The sequence below is a fragment of the Homo sapiens genome, chromosome 7, assembly GCF_000001405.40.
Source record: "Homo sapiens chromosome 7, GRCh38.p14 Primary Assembly".
Lineage (NCBI taxonomy): Eukaryota > Metazoa > Chordata > Mammalia > Primates > Hominidae > Homo > Homo sapiens.
Window position 1 is genome coordinate 10633134 of NC_000007.14, and position 17849 is coordinate 10650982.

Consider the following 17849-nt stretch of genomic DNA (forward strand, 5'->3'; position numbering starts at 1 on the left):
AAAAGAGGTTTAGATTGTAAGCCATCCCATATCACTTCAGCTGAAACTGTTTTTCTCCCCCCAAATTCCTATACATCATGTGCCTAGACAGCTTATCTGCCAATGATCAAATTCAATATCATATTGTTAATTATCTTTTCAAGTTCACAGATTGTGTCCCACCTAGATCATAAAATTGTTAACTATGATCTTTTTGTGCTTTGTAGATGCAGGCATTCAAGAAAAAAATTTATTAGATTAATGATTGGATAATCCAAAGGAAATAGATTATTCTAGCCTAATTACATCATTAATTGAGACTGTTAAACTCTTGCCATTCTGTGTTTCTTTTTAATATATTTCACATTCATCATATCTGAGTGTTTCTACTAATAAATACTTGAGCATCTCTGTTCCCTGGAATGGACTGTCTGGCCTAGTTCCCCCATTAAAATAATTAAATGTCTCAAGAGCTTTATTCTTAAAACATATGTGTTTATTATAAAACATCATTTAGCACCTCTGTAAGGAAACAGAAATTTAACCACCTCAACCATTTATATTAATCAAAGGATATCATCAATATCTTATATACTTGCAGCCAAAGGAACAGTGTCAGAAGATCAAAGTTTTATCCATTTGAAAGATTATGGCAGACACTGTGGCTACCTAACCAGCCATCATCTTCCCCACACCCTCCTTTATTTCTTTCCAGCAGAACTCTGAATTTAATTGTGTTGCAATTAGACGACAGACTCAGAATTTAGAAGTAAGACTTTGCTGTTCATAAGAAACACATTTCAGAAAAGAAGAGGGAAAGAGTTCACCGGACAAGGACTGAGAACACCCACACCCCAGTTCCTGAAGGTATCCCAATTATAGCCTGTCTTTTATACTGACATATTCCCAAGGCACCTTTCATAAGTTTCATGTGGTCAGAAGGGAAGCAGTATCCTTGTGACAATCAGGTAGGGAAGATGAAACCTCAGGATGTTCAGCAGGTTGGGGAAAAGAAACCTTTAAGATATAAATAAAGAAACTTCAAAACAGCTATTTGAAAGGATACGTATAAAACAAATTTGAAAGTCATAGTATTTATCCACTCAAGCGTGCAGAAATTATCAAGGGGTTGCATTTGTCTAGAAGAGTAAAAATATTGTAGATTTACAAAGAGATGGCAGTATTCCTCCCAGGAAATAAAAATTATGAATGTCTTTGTTAAAAGAGTTCTTTATTTTTTAGCAAACATCATGTGAAGTTCTGTGTATGATGGATGGGCTGATTTTGTTAACATGAGCTAGGATACCAGGAGATTAAGGGAGGCCCCTCCTCAGGTCCCTGTGGTGAAATAATAGGTCTAAATTAATCATTGTGGACACATTACATTTGCAGTGACCGGTTAGGAATGAACTTGTAAATAAGTCCTTGCTGTTAAATACGAATTTCTTGGTGAGCATAAGGGCATTTTTGTGTCCAGAAAAGAAAATCTATTTGTACATTTACTTTTATTTAAAAAATTAAAATTCATTTTATTAAAATCACATATATAAAAAAACAGTTCTCTTTAAACTTTCAGGTTATAGAGTTTATGATAATTCTACTAATAACCTAGCATGTTTTAATAATTGGTTTTAAAGGTCCTTTGATTAATGCTTGGCATCACTTACAAACTTAAACAACTTTAAATACTTCAAACTGTATTTATAAATTAAGTGTATTCAAAATTTAAAATATTTAAATTATTTTACTTATAAAACTTGAGTTCTAAAACAGCTTTATATTTAATAAATTAAACTTATTAGCAGGATTAATCATACATTCTCATGAATGTTTCAACATTGTCTATAAACCTATTAAGATTTTATCATAAAACACAAGCCAAAATTGATAACTATTTTATATTTTAAGGGGAATAACAAAGCTGACTTGTAACTCTACAGAAACGAATTCCATAAGAATTATTATATAAACCATCAAATATGCTGTTAACATGATGGTTAGATTATCTTAAACTTTTTATCACTGTCTTAGCCAGCTTCATGTTGCTATAACAGAATATCACAGACTGGGTGATTTATAAAGAAAATAAATTTATATCTTATAGTTCCTGAGGCTGGAAAGTCCTATATCAAGGTACCAGTATCTTGTGTGGACCTTAATGCTATATCATCCCACAGGAGAAGACAGAAGGGCAAGAACATGTGAAGGCAAGAGATCAAACTCACAGCCTCAAGCCCTCTCATAATTGGCATTAATCCATTCATGAGGGTGGCACTATCATGATCTAAACACCTCCCATTAGGCCCCACATCCCAACACTGTTACATTGAAGATTAAGTTTCCAGCACATGCTTTTTGGGGGATACATTCAAACACTAGAAATCACTGAATTCTCAGTCTTCTCAAGGTTGAAAGGCACTTAACTATTAAGGTAATATTTATGTCATAACAGGCAATTTTAAGGAATAATTTCCCTCTCAGTTGCAATTGTTTAAATAACATAGATTTTAGCCTGGGTGTTGTGGCTAATGTCTGTAATCCCAACACTTTGGGAGGCTGACATGGGCAGCTCACTTGAAGCCAGGAGTTCGAGACCATCCTGGACAATATGGCAAAACCCCATCTCTACGAAAAATACAAAAATTAGCCAGGCATAGTGGCACACACCTGTAATCACAGCTACTCGGGAGGCTGAGGTATGAAAATCACTTGAACTTGGAAGGCAGGTTGCACCACTGCACTCCAGCCTGGGTGACAGAGTGAGACCCTCTCTCAATAAAAAAATTAAAATTAAATAAATAAAAATGTAAAACATAGAAGTTACCTGGATCACTAACTGGATTTTTTTTTCACAAGCCTTGCTAGAGTATTCTGAATTACCTTTATAATCTAAGAGAAGAATTTTAAAACTAAGGGAGTAGTAGGTCTCAGTGACTCAAAGTCTGCAGAATCTCTGTACACATTTATTACATAATTATATGTTGCATTTTTGCTCTTATACTGTGCAAATGTTTTCCCTAACACTAAAGATGACTAAATTTGATGCAATCTAATATTTTCTTCATAAGATCCCCAACTTTTCAGATACCATTTCTATGATATAAAATAGTATCTAATAGGATCCTGGAGATCTCTGGTGGCATTGCTTGATTATTCAAGGCACTTCCAAGATCATTTGACTCATGCTAACTAATGGCCCTTGAAGGCAAGCCTGCTGTGGGCCTCTGCAAAAATAAGAGGAGTGAACAGGAGGAAAGCCATTCTTCTTTAACTGGATGTTTTCCAGTCTAAATGTGGTTCCAAGAAGACCAAGAGACCTTTTGTGACCCTAAGGAGGCAAGCCTAAAATGTAGCAAACATGCCAAGGTTGACAGTGCTAAAATCTGCAGGCATGCTGCCCCTAAGCGTCTTATTACATGAGATATTACATGTCTTTTTGCTTAGCCACTTTCAGTTGTATTTTTGCTACTTGCAGCCCAAATCTCCCTAATTAATAAAATAATCCATCAAAGCTTCCACATAATCAATGAGACAAGAGGTTCAATCCACATAAACGGGATAAACTAGACATAAAGAAGCATAATGGATAACCCCATATATCAAAAAATGCCACTAGTTTCAACATAGACATAGCAGTGTATCCCATGCAAAAGATTTATATAGAGTAGATCCAACGCAAAGAGGTCCTCAAGGCATTTATTATCTAGTGGTTATATAAAGTTAATGAAAACAATAAAAACAGATAAAAGCTACAGAGCTTATATCAATAGTGCCTCAATCTAAATACATAAGCAAATGGTCAGTTGGGCTACTATGTGTTCTGGATGTCTATGGTTTCAAACCAGCCACTCCAAAGTAGCAAAATTTATTTACTTATGAAGTTGGAATAAGGGTAGTGCTCAGCAGGGATGGCTTGTCTCTGGTCTATCAGCAACAGCCAGGGCATCTGAAGGCAGGATGTTGTAATCATCTGTATTAGGCGGTTCTTGCATTGCTATAAAAAAAAAAAATACCTGGCTGGGCGTGGTGGGTCATGCCTGTAATCCCAACACTTTGGGAGGCAGAAGCAGGTGGATCACTTGAGGTCAGGAGTTTGAGACCAGCCTGACCAACATGGTGAAACCCGGTCTCTACTAAAAATACAAAAATTAGCCAGGAGGTGGTGCACTACAGGTGGTACACTCTTGTAGTCCCAGCTACTCAGAAGGCTGAGGCAGGAGAATCGTTTGAACCCAGGATGTGGAGGTTGCAGTGAATCAAGATTGCACCACTGTACTCCAGCCTGGGTGACAGAGTGAGACTCTGTCTCAAAAAAAATTTTTAAAAATACCTGAGGCTGAGCAATTTATAAAGAAAGGAGGTTTTAATTAGCTCATAGTTCTTCAGGCTATACAAGAAGCATGGTGCTGGCATCTGCTTCTGTTGAGGTCTCAGGAGGCTTACAATTATGGCAGAAGGTGAAGAGGAAGTAGGCATCTCACATGGCAAGACTGGGAGCAAGAGGGGAGGGGAGGTGCCACACACTCTTAAACAGTCAGATCATGAGGGAACTCACTGTTTTGTGAGGATAGCACCAAGACATGAGGGATCTGCCCCCATAACCCAAACACCTCCCACCAGGCCTCACCTCCAACAATGGAGATAACATTTCAACATGAGATTTGAAAGGGACAAACATCCAAACCATATCACCATCCAAAAACCCAGTGTTCAGGGAGAACTCAAATACCTGGGAACTGTCACAGCTGAGGCTCCTGAGACATCTATTCCTGTGAGCCCTCTCCACAGGGTCTCTCCAGCATGCTGAATTAAGGGTAGCTAGACTTCTTACAAGATGAATGTCCCAAGAGGAACAGAGGCAGGCAGGAGCTGTCTTATTTTATGACCTAACCTTGGAAATCATGTGTAGCCTCAATTTCACCTCATTCTGTTCATCAAGGCAGTCACAAAGGCCCTTCTCAGTTGAAGGAAATGGAAATTGACTCTATCTCTTGAAGGACGAGTAACAGAAAGAGCATGTGGGACCAGAAATATTAATGCACCATTGCTGATACAGTCTACCCAACTATGACATCATAGTTGTTTCTCAGTTACAGCCAAAGTGATGTCTTCAAGGAGACAGATTTTTAATCAAATCTTAAAGAATTTGAGAGACCTCGACTGTCATACGAAGTCTGTTTTTCAAGATAACACTTTTTTAAAGCAGTCATATATGTGTACAGTGTATATCCAGAAGCAAAGAAACAGATAGTTCTACTGAGAACTTCTCAGTGGCTTCACTATCTTAATTTATAAATACCCCAAAGCCAATCCTTGTTCCCTTTATGTACATCATCCAAATAATCTTAAGAGTAAACATTGTGGAAGCTTTTTGTGACACAGAATTTGACTAAATAAACACAAATACCTTCAACCTTTAAACCTTTCCTCAAGCTTAGATGAAGCTAAGTTATAAATAAACTCCAGTGGATTTAATACAGAGAAAGAAGTCAGCCTTAAAGTTCTGGCTTTGAAATAAAATGCAGCTCTTTTATGTCAGGGACTTCTGTCCCTTGTGTTCAGCACACTATTGTAGTCTCCACCCTGCTTACAGCACTGCTTTGCAAATAATGAAATGAATGCATAAATAAATAAAACTGGCATCTATACAATGCTTTACAATTTATAAGGCACTTTCATATATTTTGCTTCACAATAACTTGTGACATAAATATTATCATTATTGGATCCATTTAATAAAACAGGAAAGGTGAGAAATCAGTAACATAAGTAAATTTCCTGAAGTCACAGATATAGTGAAGTGTAAGAAATAAAAGTTGAAACACAAATTCCTATTTTATCAAACAACCCATGCCCTTTTCACTGATTATTAATAACTTTTATATATTTTTATGACTTTCACTAGGGTATTAATTTCTGGCATGGATTTTTGCTTTGCTGACCCTCCCAAAATATCCCTGAAGTATGTAAAACTATCATCCTTGGATGCCACACCTTCACTGTCATGATTATTGTTAAATTTTTAATTACTACATATATAATCTTTTAGCTATTCATCTTTCATCTTATTTACTTGTTAATGTTTCTAACATTTCTTCAATGAATATTTTCAACACTAACAGCTAGGATATAACTAAAACTTTTTTTCAACCAAACATGGCTAAAAGCAGATTATGTAGGCTTCCCACTGTTAAGTCTGGAAAAAAATTGTAAAAGAAAGGGTCAGTAATCTAGCATCACGTTAATTTATCAAAGTAATGATAAATACTTAATACATGGAAATATCTAATAACAGAAACCAATTCTGTTACAAGAAAGGGCATATTCATATGCAATGAATGGCCATAATTAGGGTAAATTTGCATATTTACCTTTGGGAAGTTTTCTCAAGGAATTTAATTGGCATTTTGACCCAGAATATCTTAAAAAAGAGATATATAAAGAAAAATTGAAGGTTTTTCCAAATCCATGTATGCCAGAGTTTAGAAACTCCCTGGCACTCAGTTTTTCCATACATTAAGGAAAGAGTTAAATGTGATAGTGTGCTCTTAACAAGAGCCAATCATCATTTGAAGTGAATGATATTCTCCTCCTCGTTATTCTCCAAGAACAGAATGCCTCCCAGATCCCAGGCTCAGAGAAAACTATTTCATTGCTTAGACTTCAGAGAAGGAAGGGGACGGAGAGAATAGAAAAACATACATTACCTTGAGAGTTAACTGTGAAACAAAGCTTCCAGATATTTTCTGTTTAGGAAACATGGAGACTAGAATGTATCTTCAAGATAATACGCTCTCTCTTTCTAGGAGGTCTGTCTGATGGTTACACGAACATAAAGCAGACCTGGTGGATTGTATTGGAATCAAGGCTCCAAAAACCACAGTCAGTTTAACACTGCCTAGAAGTCTTGGCAAGACTCCTCCCTTTGTCTGTCTTTGGGGTAAGTGTTCAGAAGCAGGACTTAGGGCCTAAAGGAAAGGCCTGAATCCACTTACTGGAACTCTCTGTGTCTTTGGAGCATGAGAGAAAGAAGTCTTCACCCTGCAAGAAGGGCAAAAGCAAGGTAGAACAGCAGCATTTCATTGGGGACAAACAGGAGCATTTCACTGGGGACAAGCATTCTCAACTTGAGAATGAGGAGCGGGTCAAGGAACTAGAACAAGGTGTCATCATCTATGTGCTAGGACAGGTAAGTGGGAAGGTAAGTGATGAAGTCACAAACAAAGCAAGATCCCAGTTCCTGATAACTGACACAAACACAAACTCTAGATAATTTTGGGCCACCCAAATACTGCCCTAGATTCCTTCACTTTCCCCTCCCTGGAACAGCCACGTTCCCAAAGACTGAAGCAGCACACAGCCTGGTGGCGGAGGGAGCTGTTAAGTGATCTTAACATGTAAGTACCACAGGAATATTAAGGAACATGCAAAAGGAATCACTCTCATTACCCTAAATTGTCTCACACATGAAAGATCAGAAACCTCTATCAGAGCAGAGCTGCTGGTTGAATTCACTCTTGCCAAATGAAAAAACTACTGGAAGCTGAAGCCACTGCTAAAAGGACTGTTTTCCACCAGGGTCACTACTGAAGGAACAGCTGCTAGTTGGTACTGGGAGTAGCTGCTGAGGGTGACACAATAAAAACCTTTGCTGCCGGGCACTGCTTGAAGCAGCAGGTAGTTTCACGCTGGGCACCACCTTCAGTTCAGAAATCTCCAGCTCATACGATTTTACTTTAAGTTTACGTTTGGGAGAAAAAGGAGTTATTCCCCCATCTAAGGGGAAGGTAGAAATTGTTATTCATTTTCTTTCTTACTACAGAAAAAAAAAAATTACTCATGCCAATAAAAAGACCTGAAAATCACCTAGCCCTCACATTTCTAGCCAGAAGAAAGAGGGACATGGAAAGACAGTCTCATACATGCAATTGTGTGAAGAACAAGTTCAAAATGAACAGGCTTTGGAATGCCTTTTTTTAAGCGTCATTATTTTTCTAAGCCTCTAGACTGAGGTAAGTTGTTCTTAATTCGAAAGAACATAAAAATGAATTCTCAACCTTTTCCACAGACGGTAATATTCCTGTAGTCATTGCTATTGTTAAAGGCCAATTAATCCTGTGCTAGTTCTATAAATAATTGACTTTTTTTCTTTCTTTAGGTTTTTAGAATATAGATCTTTGCTTTCTAGTTTTGATCAGTCCTGGTTTTATTTAAATTAATACACCTCAAAAAACTGCCTAAACCTGTTAGATGTTTTAAGTGTATTTCCAGTCTGTGCAGACTATGACCTCTGCTGGGAATTTTCACTGAATTTGCAGCGAACAGAGAGAGTTTTAGTTCCATCAGAACCTAAAAACAAGAAAATCTGACAGCAACACTCAAGTCCATCCACAAATGACCACAAATATTATAAATATTTGTTCCTATATTAAAATATAAATATATGAATTAAAATAGAAAATGTATTTTAATACTAAGATTGAGAGTAAGGATTTACTTGACATGAAAGCTTGCAGCATAATTCTAGGAAATTAGTTTAATCTATATTTTTAAGTATAAAAAAAGGAATGACTGTTCTTTGAAGCAAACATTACAGAGAGACACTTAAAGAAGATGAGAGCTATTGGATTAAAATATATTTTTTCTCTGCTCAGCTCAAAGCCTGATTCAGGTCAGGAGGTTATATAGCATTCTAGATACATCACTGGGGATATTTTTTCTTTTTCGCTAGGTATTCCTCCCCTCATTCCTACCTCAGGATTTAATAAAATTTCAGGAGGAAACAGTAGAGTTCTACCTCTTACATGGGTAGAGAAATTACGTATTCCTTAATATTTGTTGGTGATCACTAGTTGAAGATTTTATGCTTAAATCTTGCTATTGATCAACTTGGGTAGTCATTCTACTATGGTAATACACTCAATAAAAGTAAGACCGTCTAGGCATACTGGTTGCATTTAAAAGCCCTCTTTTATTAGCTTTAGAAGTTTGGGATGAGAATACATAAAGTAAGATCTGGCATGGGGTCTCTGTGTAATACTATTAAACACATGTAGTAAAATATTTTTGATAGGCCCATGTAACAATTTTAGCTATAACATAACTTAAGTGCTAAACCACACACTGAAGATTTGAAGTGATAAGAGTAAGTACATCATGAGAAACGCAAGCTTAACAACAACAAAAAAGAGTAAGTACAGCAAAGAATATCAAGCATCATTTTTAAAATGTAAAATTATAAATTTTTAAAAATTCCTTCATTTTTCATATTTTAAACAATGAACATGTATAATTTTATAATCAAACATTAGACATCTATCTAAAATATATAAATATAACATATTATCAATTGAAAACATTAAATAACCATTTAAGCAAAATTTTACACTTAAATCTAAAAGAAGGCCAAGGGTGGGAGGAAAGAGAAAATTCTGTTACTATCATTGTTTCTTGTTTCTTCATGATATGGTGATGCAGTTGTGCTCTGCCTAGACCCAAGTCTTCTTAGGAGGTGGAGTTGAAATAAGTCTTCTGGGCTCCTAATTAAAAGTTAACAACACATGCTGGTGGTCAGAATTACAAAGGTGTCTCAGGAACCAGCTGCTTTAATCAAGTCAACAAAAATTGAGTAATGTCTTCATCTCACAACCAAGGCTGCCTCCAGACAGTACCTTTGAGTAAGATATCATTCAAGCACTCTTACTTCAGTAAAAAGATCTATGCCCAGAAACTTGATGCCTACCTCTTAGATCTTGAAGAGACTGGCATTTTTGCTGTCCTCAAAGTGAACATCCTATTTAGCCTCAGTCTTAGAATAATTATATTATATTTACTCTCCAGTCACTTAGAAAATTAATGGCTTAAACTAGAACCAGGATCAAAACTCAGATGTCCGAAAGAAGTCCATTTCCCATTGGGAAATATTTTGGCTGATTCTCTCCCTCACTTCTAAGATGTCACCAAAAGATGAAGCACCTTCCCCACCCCCTCTACACACACACACACACACACACACACACACACACACACACACACACACACTCTATCATACCCCAAAAGAATATAGATGTATTTGACTTTCCTGAGAAAGTCTCAAGGCTAGTCACCATCAATCACCATCAATTGGAAAGCATCTTGAAGGTAAGTAGAGGAGCCTATCAATCTGTATAACTCTGATGAATTTTGCAAAGTGTGGATTGTCTTTTAAGTATATAATAGAGTAGGAAAAGTGAATAATCTATTTCATGTAAAGAAGTCTCAGCATGACAATTTTCCCATGGGATAAAATAATCAAGGAAGGGAAATATTTTCTAAACTGTATTAGATGACTTCGCAATTAGATCACATCTTCCTTCAGGCACCACTGAGTGCTTCCCCTACACAAAAGAATTTCGTATCTGTTTCTTGTAGGTAGTTACTTGAGAGGGGAATTTAAACATTTCTAAAAAGGAGAATCAAAGGGTAAGGGTTATAAGAATGGTAACGAAGAATGAAGAAAAGCTCCTAGAGAGCACTACAGCAGACATCAGAAAAGAGGGTGAAAAGTGATGCCCTGAACTTTACAGGGGAAGAAGAAAGCAAGATTGAGAGGAAAAAGTCACCAGAGTGGGCAGGAAGTGGTGTTGTCCGCTTCCTGGAAGGGAAAGAAGTTAAAAAAACTGAAAAAAAAAAAAAAGAAAGCCTGATACAGTTCACCTGCTAAAAATAAGGACTTGCCCAGGAAGAAGGCAACTGCTACTTAAATGAGTAAGAAAGGATTCTGCCAGAAGCCAGCATTGGAGCAGCATCCTCCTGAGAATTGAATCATAACAGCTAACATTTATTGAACACTTGCAGTGTGCCAGGCACAGTTCTAAACATTTTACATGTATTAACACACTTAATCCTCATAATAACTCTATGAGGAACTGAAGCCAAAGCAAATCTGGGAACAGAGTACAGGGTGGAAGGCAGAAAATCTCTCCTGGCCCCTCAAGGATTGTAACTACTCTGGTGTCATTCCCAACATTGAACTCCATGAACCTGGACATTGTGGGATTCTTGATCACTTTCTGTAGGCTGCAAGTCCAATGTTTTGTCTTCAAAACAAAAACAACTCCTTAATGAAGAAGTTAAGCAAGGAGTACTGTAATATCTACTGTATTTTCCAGGAGATAACCAAAGTCAAATACGATGCCAGGGATGATTCTAACAAAGACTAACACTGAAGTTCATTAAACACTGACTGCTTCAGCCTTATGTTTAAAAAGAAGAAAAAAGATTTTTAGCCAAAGTAACAACAAATAGGAAGACAGAGCCAAATCTCTGAGAATGTTGTCTAATGATGGTTTGCTTTGAGCTTTTTGGGGTGGGGGGAGGTGGAGGATTAAGTTTTAATGGAACTATTAAGTTTAAAAAAATAAGGGGGAAATTAAAAGATGTATTTTAAAATGACATTAGAAAATACAAACTAAAGAGACATTCATCATACTTGTTTTCACCATTTCTTGGTGATTTTTGAGTTTCCATTTAGACCAAGAAATACATAAAGAAAATGTGTTAAAACCTAATTTTTCTAGTAAAAGAAAAAAAAATTCATCCACTTCACAAAGGGTGCCTATACTCTTTATTTCAATTTCCTGCAAAAAAAATTTCTTTCTGCTCTCTCAGCAGTATTCTTTGCCCCTTTAAATTTCCAAACTCTGTTCTGAAGCTGTTTTATGATTGTTTTCAAAGGCTTCTGGTAAAGTACTGGAGAGTGTATTTGTGTGTGTGTGCACACACATACACAAGTGCATTCATGTGTGTTTTTAACAGTAAAAATAAGAAACTACCTTTCCATGTGGGTTAGAACTGAGATGAAATGAGGAATGGCCGCCACCAAGCAGAAAATGTGCTCACTTTATGTGTGCCAGTTAATTACAACACTTCAGAGGCGTTTCCGAAAGGATAAGGAAAGCTGCATAAATTTAGCTGTAATCCAGGCAGGCAAAACTAATTTGCAGGGGATGGCCTTATCTAGCCACTGCAGCTTTCTCAGAAAATTAACCTTGGATATTTGGGCCCAATTCAGAAAGTGTTTGATTTTTTTTTTTCCTTTCCCTGCTCAGCATAAGAGAATTTTTGAATTCAATATAATACCTGACTTTTAAGAAGCACGATGAATGCTGTAGGCAGTTCAGAGTTATTACTGGCAAGCAAAAATATATTTTTTATATACACATATAGATGATTGTCCTTCATGCCCATTATCCTGCCTTCTTACATGTGCATCAGAGGGTTTATCAGTGTAGGTATAAGGGGTTTCTCGGATTAAGAGAAGGGTGCCACTCATTTTTAATGTACTTAGAAAAATTCATCAAAGTTCATTGCAGAATAAGTCATGCATACTGACTTGTTCATTCCAGTGGAAATGAAGAAATCCCCATAAAAATAGAAGTTTAATGAAGTGTTGGAGCCAAGTCTTGCCTGTCATTACAGTTATCACTGATTTAGACCCTTCCTTGATCACCCACTATTAATTAATCTCACACAGCACAGTTAAAGCTTTACCTTATTATTTATCATGTAATCATTTATTCCATCAATATTTACTGAAGTCAGCATGATTTTCATGTGTTTTCTCATTTAATCCTCATGTTATCCCTGTTTGTATTTCACTAGTTTCACCAGCACAAGAGGTAAAGATTTTATATGTCAGTGTTTCCAATCCACTTCAAAATTTCTCAAAGCAATGACAGTATGTAAGCATCAATGGAGCTCTATCGTTTGGAGGTAAGATTTAAGGCTTTTTATCCAAAAGATAATTTTAACTTTCTTTGACCAATTTCTTTATAATACAAATATTAATGGTTTCCATCTTTTCAAATTTTAAATTGCAAGGTGAATTTATATCAACCAGCTTTAGTAACATATCCATAAAAAGCCCCACATGACTATTGATAGTGGCTGAGCTGAACTTTAAAGTTTTTTTAATATCCCATCTACAATATAATTACTGTTTCACTTATTTCAAACCATAGGAGTTACTTATTTTAAAGTGGCATGAACTCGATTGGCAATAATTGTTCTTGAGGATGTCACAATTAGGCAGAAAGGAACATATTTATAATAATAAAAGAGCCATTTTATAACATAGATTGCACACTGAATCATGAAATGTGAAGTAATGACTCCCATTTGGATCTAAATTTTCCTCACGCTTGTTCAATCGCCAGGGCTAAATGTTATGGCTATTTATAGTTACACCCTAGGGTGGAAGGGGGAGGGAATTAGATATCATAAAGAATCATACATAATACATAAAGACTGAAACTACATTTTATGAGAACTGAAAAATTTAAGAAACTCTGGCTGAAATACGGAAATGTCGTGCCAAGCAGAACTTCCTCTTACACAATAACATTAGTAAAGACGTAACAGACATAAACACAGTAAACCCTCAAACCATCATGGTGTTATCTGCACTTCTGCTAACATATAATTTATTTTAATGAATAATTTGAATAAACACACTGAGGCTAAGTTTGAAGGTCACTGGAAAAAAGACATCATCACAGATAACAATGCATTAAATATCAGCTATGTGGGTAATCAAAGTCACAAAGTAACTACACAGATGCATTACACAATACTCCAACCTACCAATAAACGGTTTTATAATTGACTTTTAAAAGATATCTTCTACTTCAACCAATTTCTAAAAAGTTAATTAGCCTGATTATAAAGAGTCCCAATTCACTTTAACAACACAAAACAGAAGAGAGCCCTGTAAATGCTCCCACCTGGCAGCAATTGTCCAAAATACTGTAGGTACTTCAAGGTCAGGGACACTATATAATCACTGTAATTCCCCGGGGTCAAATGCAGTGTCTGTAATATACACGACAAACAATAAAGTCTGGCCAAATGAATGTATGATTGAATAAATGCATGAATGGTGGATAGATGAATGAATTAATGAATGAGCATATAGACTGGCAAAAAACAATTAAATTATTTAATTTTCAAAGGGAGCTCTAAGCTTTATCATTTCAGTAACCCCAAGAAGCTCTGGGGTTTCCTTGCTGGTGTCTTAAGGGTAAAACACCTAAAACCACTGTCACCAGTTCCTCCTGCCCCTTTAATCCCCACCTCCACCCATTTCTTCCACCCCATACACACACTTCTCATCCAATTTCAGCAATTCTAATTTTAAAAGTGTAAAAATATGGTGATATATTGAAAGAACAATTCAAACAGTTCAATTAACAGTTTGATGCACTTGAAAATTTCAAGAAACACACCTAGTATATAAAATAAAGTGCATGTATTTTCTATTTGTTCAGCTTTTCTAAAAGGGTGCATTAATCTTATGTCACATTTGCTACACAGAATATGGTTTTCATTTTCATTTCTTTGATTTTAATGATTATATCTACTGTCTCATAATTGAAAAAATACTTTTGTCTTTTAGCCTACATTTTCTGAATTATTCTAAAGGCATCTCTTATAATTTACCAACATTTCCTAAACTAAAATTAAACTTACAGCTCTTCCCTAGACTACCATGGATTTTCAGGAATTTGCTAAACAAAATGGTCTTTCATTAAGACAATCTACTCTTTCTATTCCATCAGTATTCACAGGTTGTCTACTGGTGCCTTGCATGACACTGCCGATATAACTGCTCTCACAGACCGAGTGATATTCATTGACTTTCTGAATCCTGGAGAACTTGTATAAGTATCATTTTGGAATCCAAGTATATGCAGTGTATAGAAACCAAGTTCTTCAAATATATTTTAAAACTATAAAACTCCCCAAAGTTTCATTTTTGCTTCACTTGCAACATAAGTCACAATTTACTGCCAGTTTAATCGGTTATAACCAAACCAAGTATTTGAAGAGAAGCACACTAACAAAAGAAATTATACATCTTTTCAAAAGTAGGGTCTGAAACCCATGAATATAAACATAAATTTATACATTTTGAAGAAAATCATACACTTTAAAAACCTACCCCTTATTCCTGTGCCTTCTTTTGGAACAAATACATTGTTTTACTTCTTTCAAAACTTCAACAATTGCCAATAATTATATTGAGGAACATAGCTCCAATTTCTCTGATTCTCTGTAATACTGACTAGTAGTCTCCAAAGTTGGTACACATTCCTCAAGATGTGTCCAAAAGGATTAGGTTATTAGGGTGCAAGTAAGCCAATATTATTAATTCAATATGTGTTTATGTTTATCAAAACAACTAAAGTTCACAAACCTTTAAGATACTGATCGACACTGGTATCTTCCCTCAGTCCACATATCAAAAGGATAGTACTGCCATGTAGTGGTCGAGTGTATTAGTCTGTGTTCACTTTGCTGATAAAGACTTATCCGAGACTGGAAGGAAAAAGAGGTTTAATTGGACCTAAAGTTCCACATGGCTGGGGAGGCCTCAGAATCATGGTGGGAGGCGAAAGCCACTTCTTACATGGCAGAGGCGAGAGAAAAATGAGGAAGCAAAAGTAGAAACCCCTGATAAAGCCATCAGATCTCATGAGACTTATTTACCATCACCAGAACAGCAAGGGAAAGACCTACCCCCATAATTCAATTACCTCCTCCTGGGTCCCTCCCACAACACGTGGGAATTCTGGGAGATACAATTCAAGTTGAGATCTGGGTGGGGATACAGCTAAACCATATCATTCTGCCCCTGGCCCCTCCAAATCTCATGTCCTCACATTTCAAAACCAATCATGCCTTCCCAACAGTCCCCCAAAGTCTTATTTCAGCATTAACCGAAAAGTCCATAGTCCAAAGTTTCATCTGAGACAAGACAAGACCCTTCTGCCTATAAGCCTGTAAAATCAAAAGCAAGCTAGTTACTTCCTAGATACAAGGGGGGTAAATACACCTGTTCCAAATGAGAGAAATTAGCCCAAACAAAGGGATGGCAGGGCGCATGAAAGTCTGAAGTCCAGCGGGGCAGTCAAATTCTAAAGCTCCAAAATGATCTCCTTTGACTCCAGGTCTGACAACCAGGTCACACTGATTCAAAAGGTAGGTTCCCACGGTTTTGGTCAGCTCCTCCCCTGTGGCTTTACAGGGTACAGCCTCCCTCCCAGCTGCTTTCATGGGCTGGCGTTGGGTGTCTGTGGCTTTTCCAGGCACACAGTGCAAGCCGTCAGTGGATCTACCATTCTGGGGTCTGGAGGAAGGTGGCCCTCTTCTCACAGCTCCACTAGGTGGTGCCCCAGTAGGGACTCAGTGTGGGGCTCCGACCCCACATTTCACTTCCACATTGTCCTAGCAGAGGTTCTCAATTATGGCCCCGCCCCTGCAGCAAAATTTTGCCTGGGGATCCAGGTGTTTCATACGTCTTCTAAAAATCTAGGCGGAGGTTCCCAAACCTCAATTCTTGACTTCTGTGCACCCACAGGCTCAACACCATGTGTAAGATGCCAAGGCTTGGGGCTTCCACCCTCTGAAGCCACAGCCCAAGCTCTATGTTGGCCCCTTTCAGTCATGGCTACAGCAACTGGGACATAGGGCACCAAGTCCCTAGGCTGCACACAGCACGGGGACCCTGGGCCCAGCCCACAAAACTACTTTTTCCTCGTAGGCTTCTGGGTCTGTGGTGGGAGGCGCTGCCATGAAGACCCATGACATACCCTGGAGACATTTTCCCCATTGTCTTGGGAATTAACCTTTGGGTCCTTGTTACTAATGCATATTTCTTCAGCCAGCTTGAATTTCTCCTCAGAAAAATGGGTTTTTATTTTCTACTGCATTGTCAGGCTACAAATGTTCTGAACTTTTATGCTTCTCTGTTTCTCTTTTTAAATAGAATACTTTTAACAGCACCCAAGTCATCTTTTAAATGCTTTGCTGCTTAGAAATTTCTTCTACCCAATACCCTAAATCATCTCTACCAATTTCAAAGATCCACAAATCTCTAGGGCAGAGGCAAAATGCTGCCAGTCTCTTTGCTAAAACATAGCAAGAATCACCTTTGCTCCAGTTCCCAAGTTCCTCATCTCCATCTGAGACCACCTCAGCCTGGACTTTATTGTTCATATCACTGTCAGCATTTTGGTCAAAGCTATTTAACAAGTCTCTAAGAGGTTCTATACTTTCCTACATTCCTGTCTTCTTCTGAGCCCTCCAACATGTTCCAACCTCTGCCTGATACCCAGTTCCAAAGTTGCTTCCACATTTTCGGGCATCTTTTCAGCAATGCCCCACTCTACTGGTACCAATTTATTGTATTAGTGCATTTTCATGCTGCTGATAAAGACATACATCAGATTGGGAAGAAAAAGAGGTTTAGTTGGATTTAAAGTTCCACATGGCTGCGGAGGCCTCAGAATCATGGTGGGAAGCAAAAGCCACTTCTTACATGCAGCGGAAAGAGAAAAATGAGGAGGAAGCAAAAACAGAAACCCCTGATAAGCTCACCAGATCTCATGAGACTTATTTACTATCACGAGAATGGCACAGAAAAGACCAACCCCCATGATTCAATTACCTACCCCTGGGTCCCTCCCACATCAAGTGGGAATTCTGGGAGATACAATTCAAGTTGAGATTTGGGAGGGGACATAGCCAAACCATATCAGTGAGGTATCCTCAAGAAATCATAGGAGTTCTATCATGTGAAGGGGTGGTAGTATTACCTTCCCTTTTTCATTCCTTTTTAGCATACTATGACAAGTTGCAGTTTACATACTCTGTTACATTAATTGATTCTGTAGTATAAAATAGTCAACTATCATAATATGGACATATGGATTTTAAAAACTAATACAATCATCCTCAAATTAAGAATGCTACAATTCCAAGTGGACAGTAAGAGATGGGCCCACACCCCTACTCCCAGTGCAAGCTCTCCATCAGTCATGTTCAAGACC

At 37.3% G+C, this 17849-nt stretch overlaps 3 long non-coding RNA genes across 3 annotated transcripts in view, besides 2 other annotated features; 1 reads left to right on the forward strand and 2 right to left on the reverse strand.

Moving 5' to 3' along the window:
• The window catches only part of MGC4859 (uncharacterized LOC79150), a 330125-nt gene that overhangs the window by 183314 nt on the left and 128962 nt on the right, over window positions 1-17849 (reverse strand). The gene's annotated exons all lie outside the window — the stretch shown is intronic.
• LOC124901588 (uncharacterized) lies at window positions 3829-5119 on the reverse strand. Its single transcript, XR_007060209.1, has 2 exons — window positions 4709-5119; window positions 3829-3973 (listed from the first exon to the last, which is right to left on the reverse strand). It is a non-coding gene; the product is annotated as an uncharacterized LOC124901588 (long non-coding RNA).
• Window positions 7211-17849, forward strand: part of LOC107986766 (uncharacterized) — a 35048-nt gene continuing 24409 nt past the window's right edge. The window contains exons 1-2 of the long non-coding RNA XR_001745090.2: window positions 7211-7376; window positions 12622-12732. This is a non-coding gene — a long non-coding RNA (uncharacterized LOC107986766). The remainder of the gene's footprint in view (window positions 7377-12621; window positions 12733-17849) is intronic.
• Window positions 11558-12599: an enhancer, noted in NCBI's record as "VISTA enhancer hs793". NCBI's record gives its function as "enhancer in: midbrain (mesencephalon)[10/13]" and the evidence as "EXISTENCE:transgenic organism evidence [ECO:0001131][PMID:17130149]".
• Window positions 13296-13496: a silencer, noted in NCBI's record as "peak6384 fragment used in MPRA reporter construct". NCBI's record gives its function as "represses an SCP1 promoter by STARR-seq MPRAs in K562 erythroleukemia cells {active_cell/tissue: K562}" and the evidence as "EXISTENCE:reporter gene assay evidence [ECO:0000049][PMID:32103011]".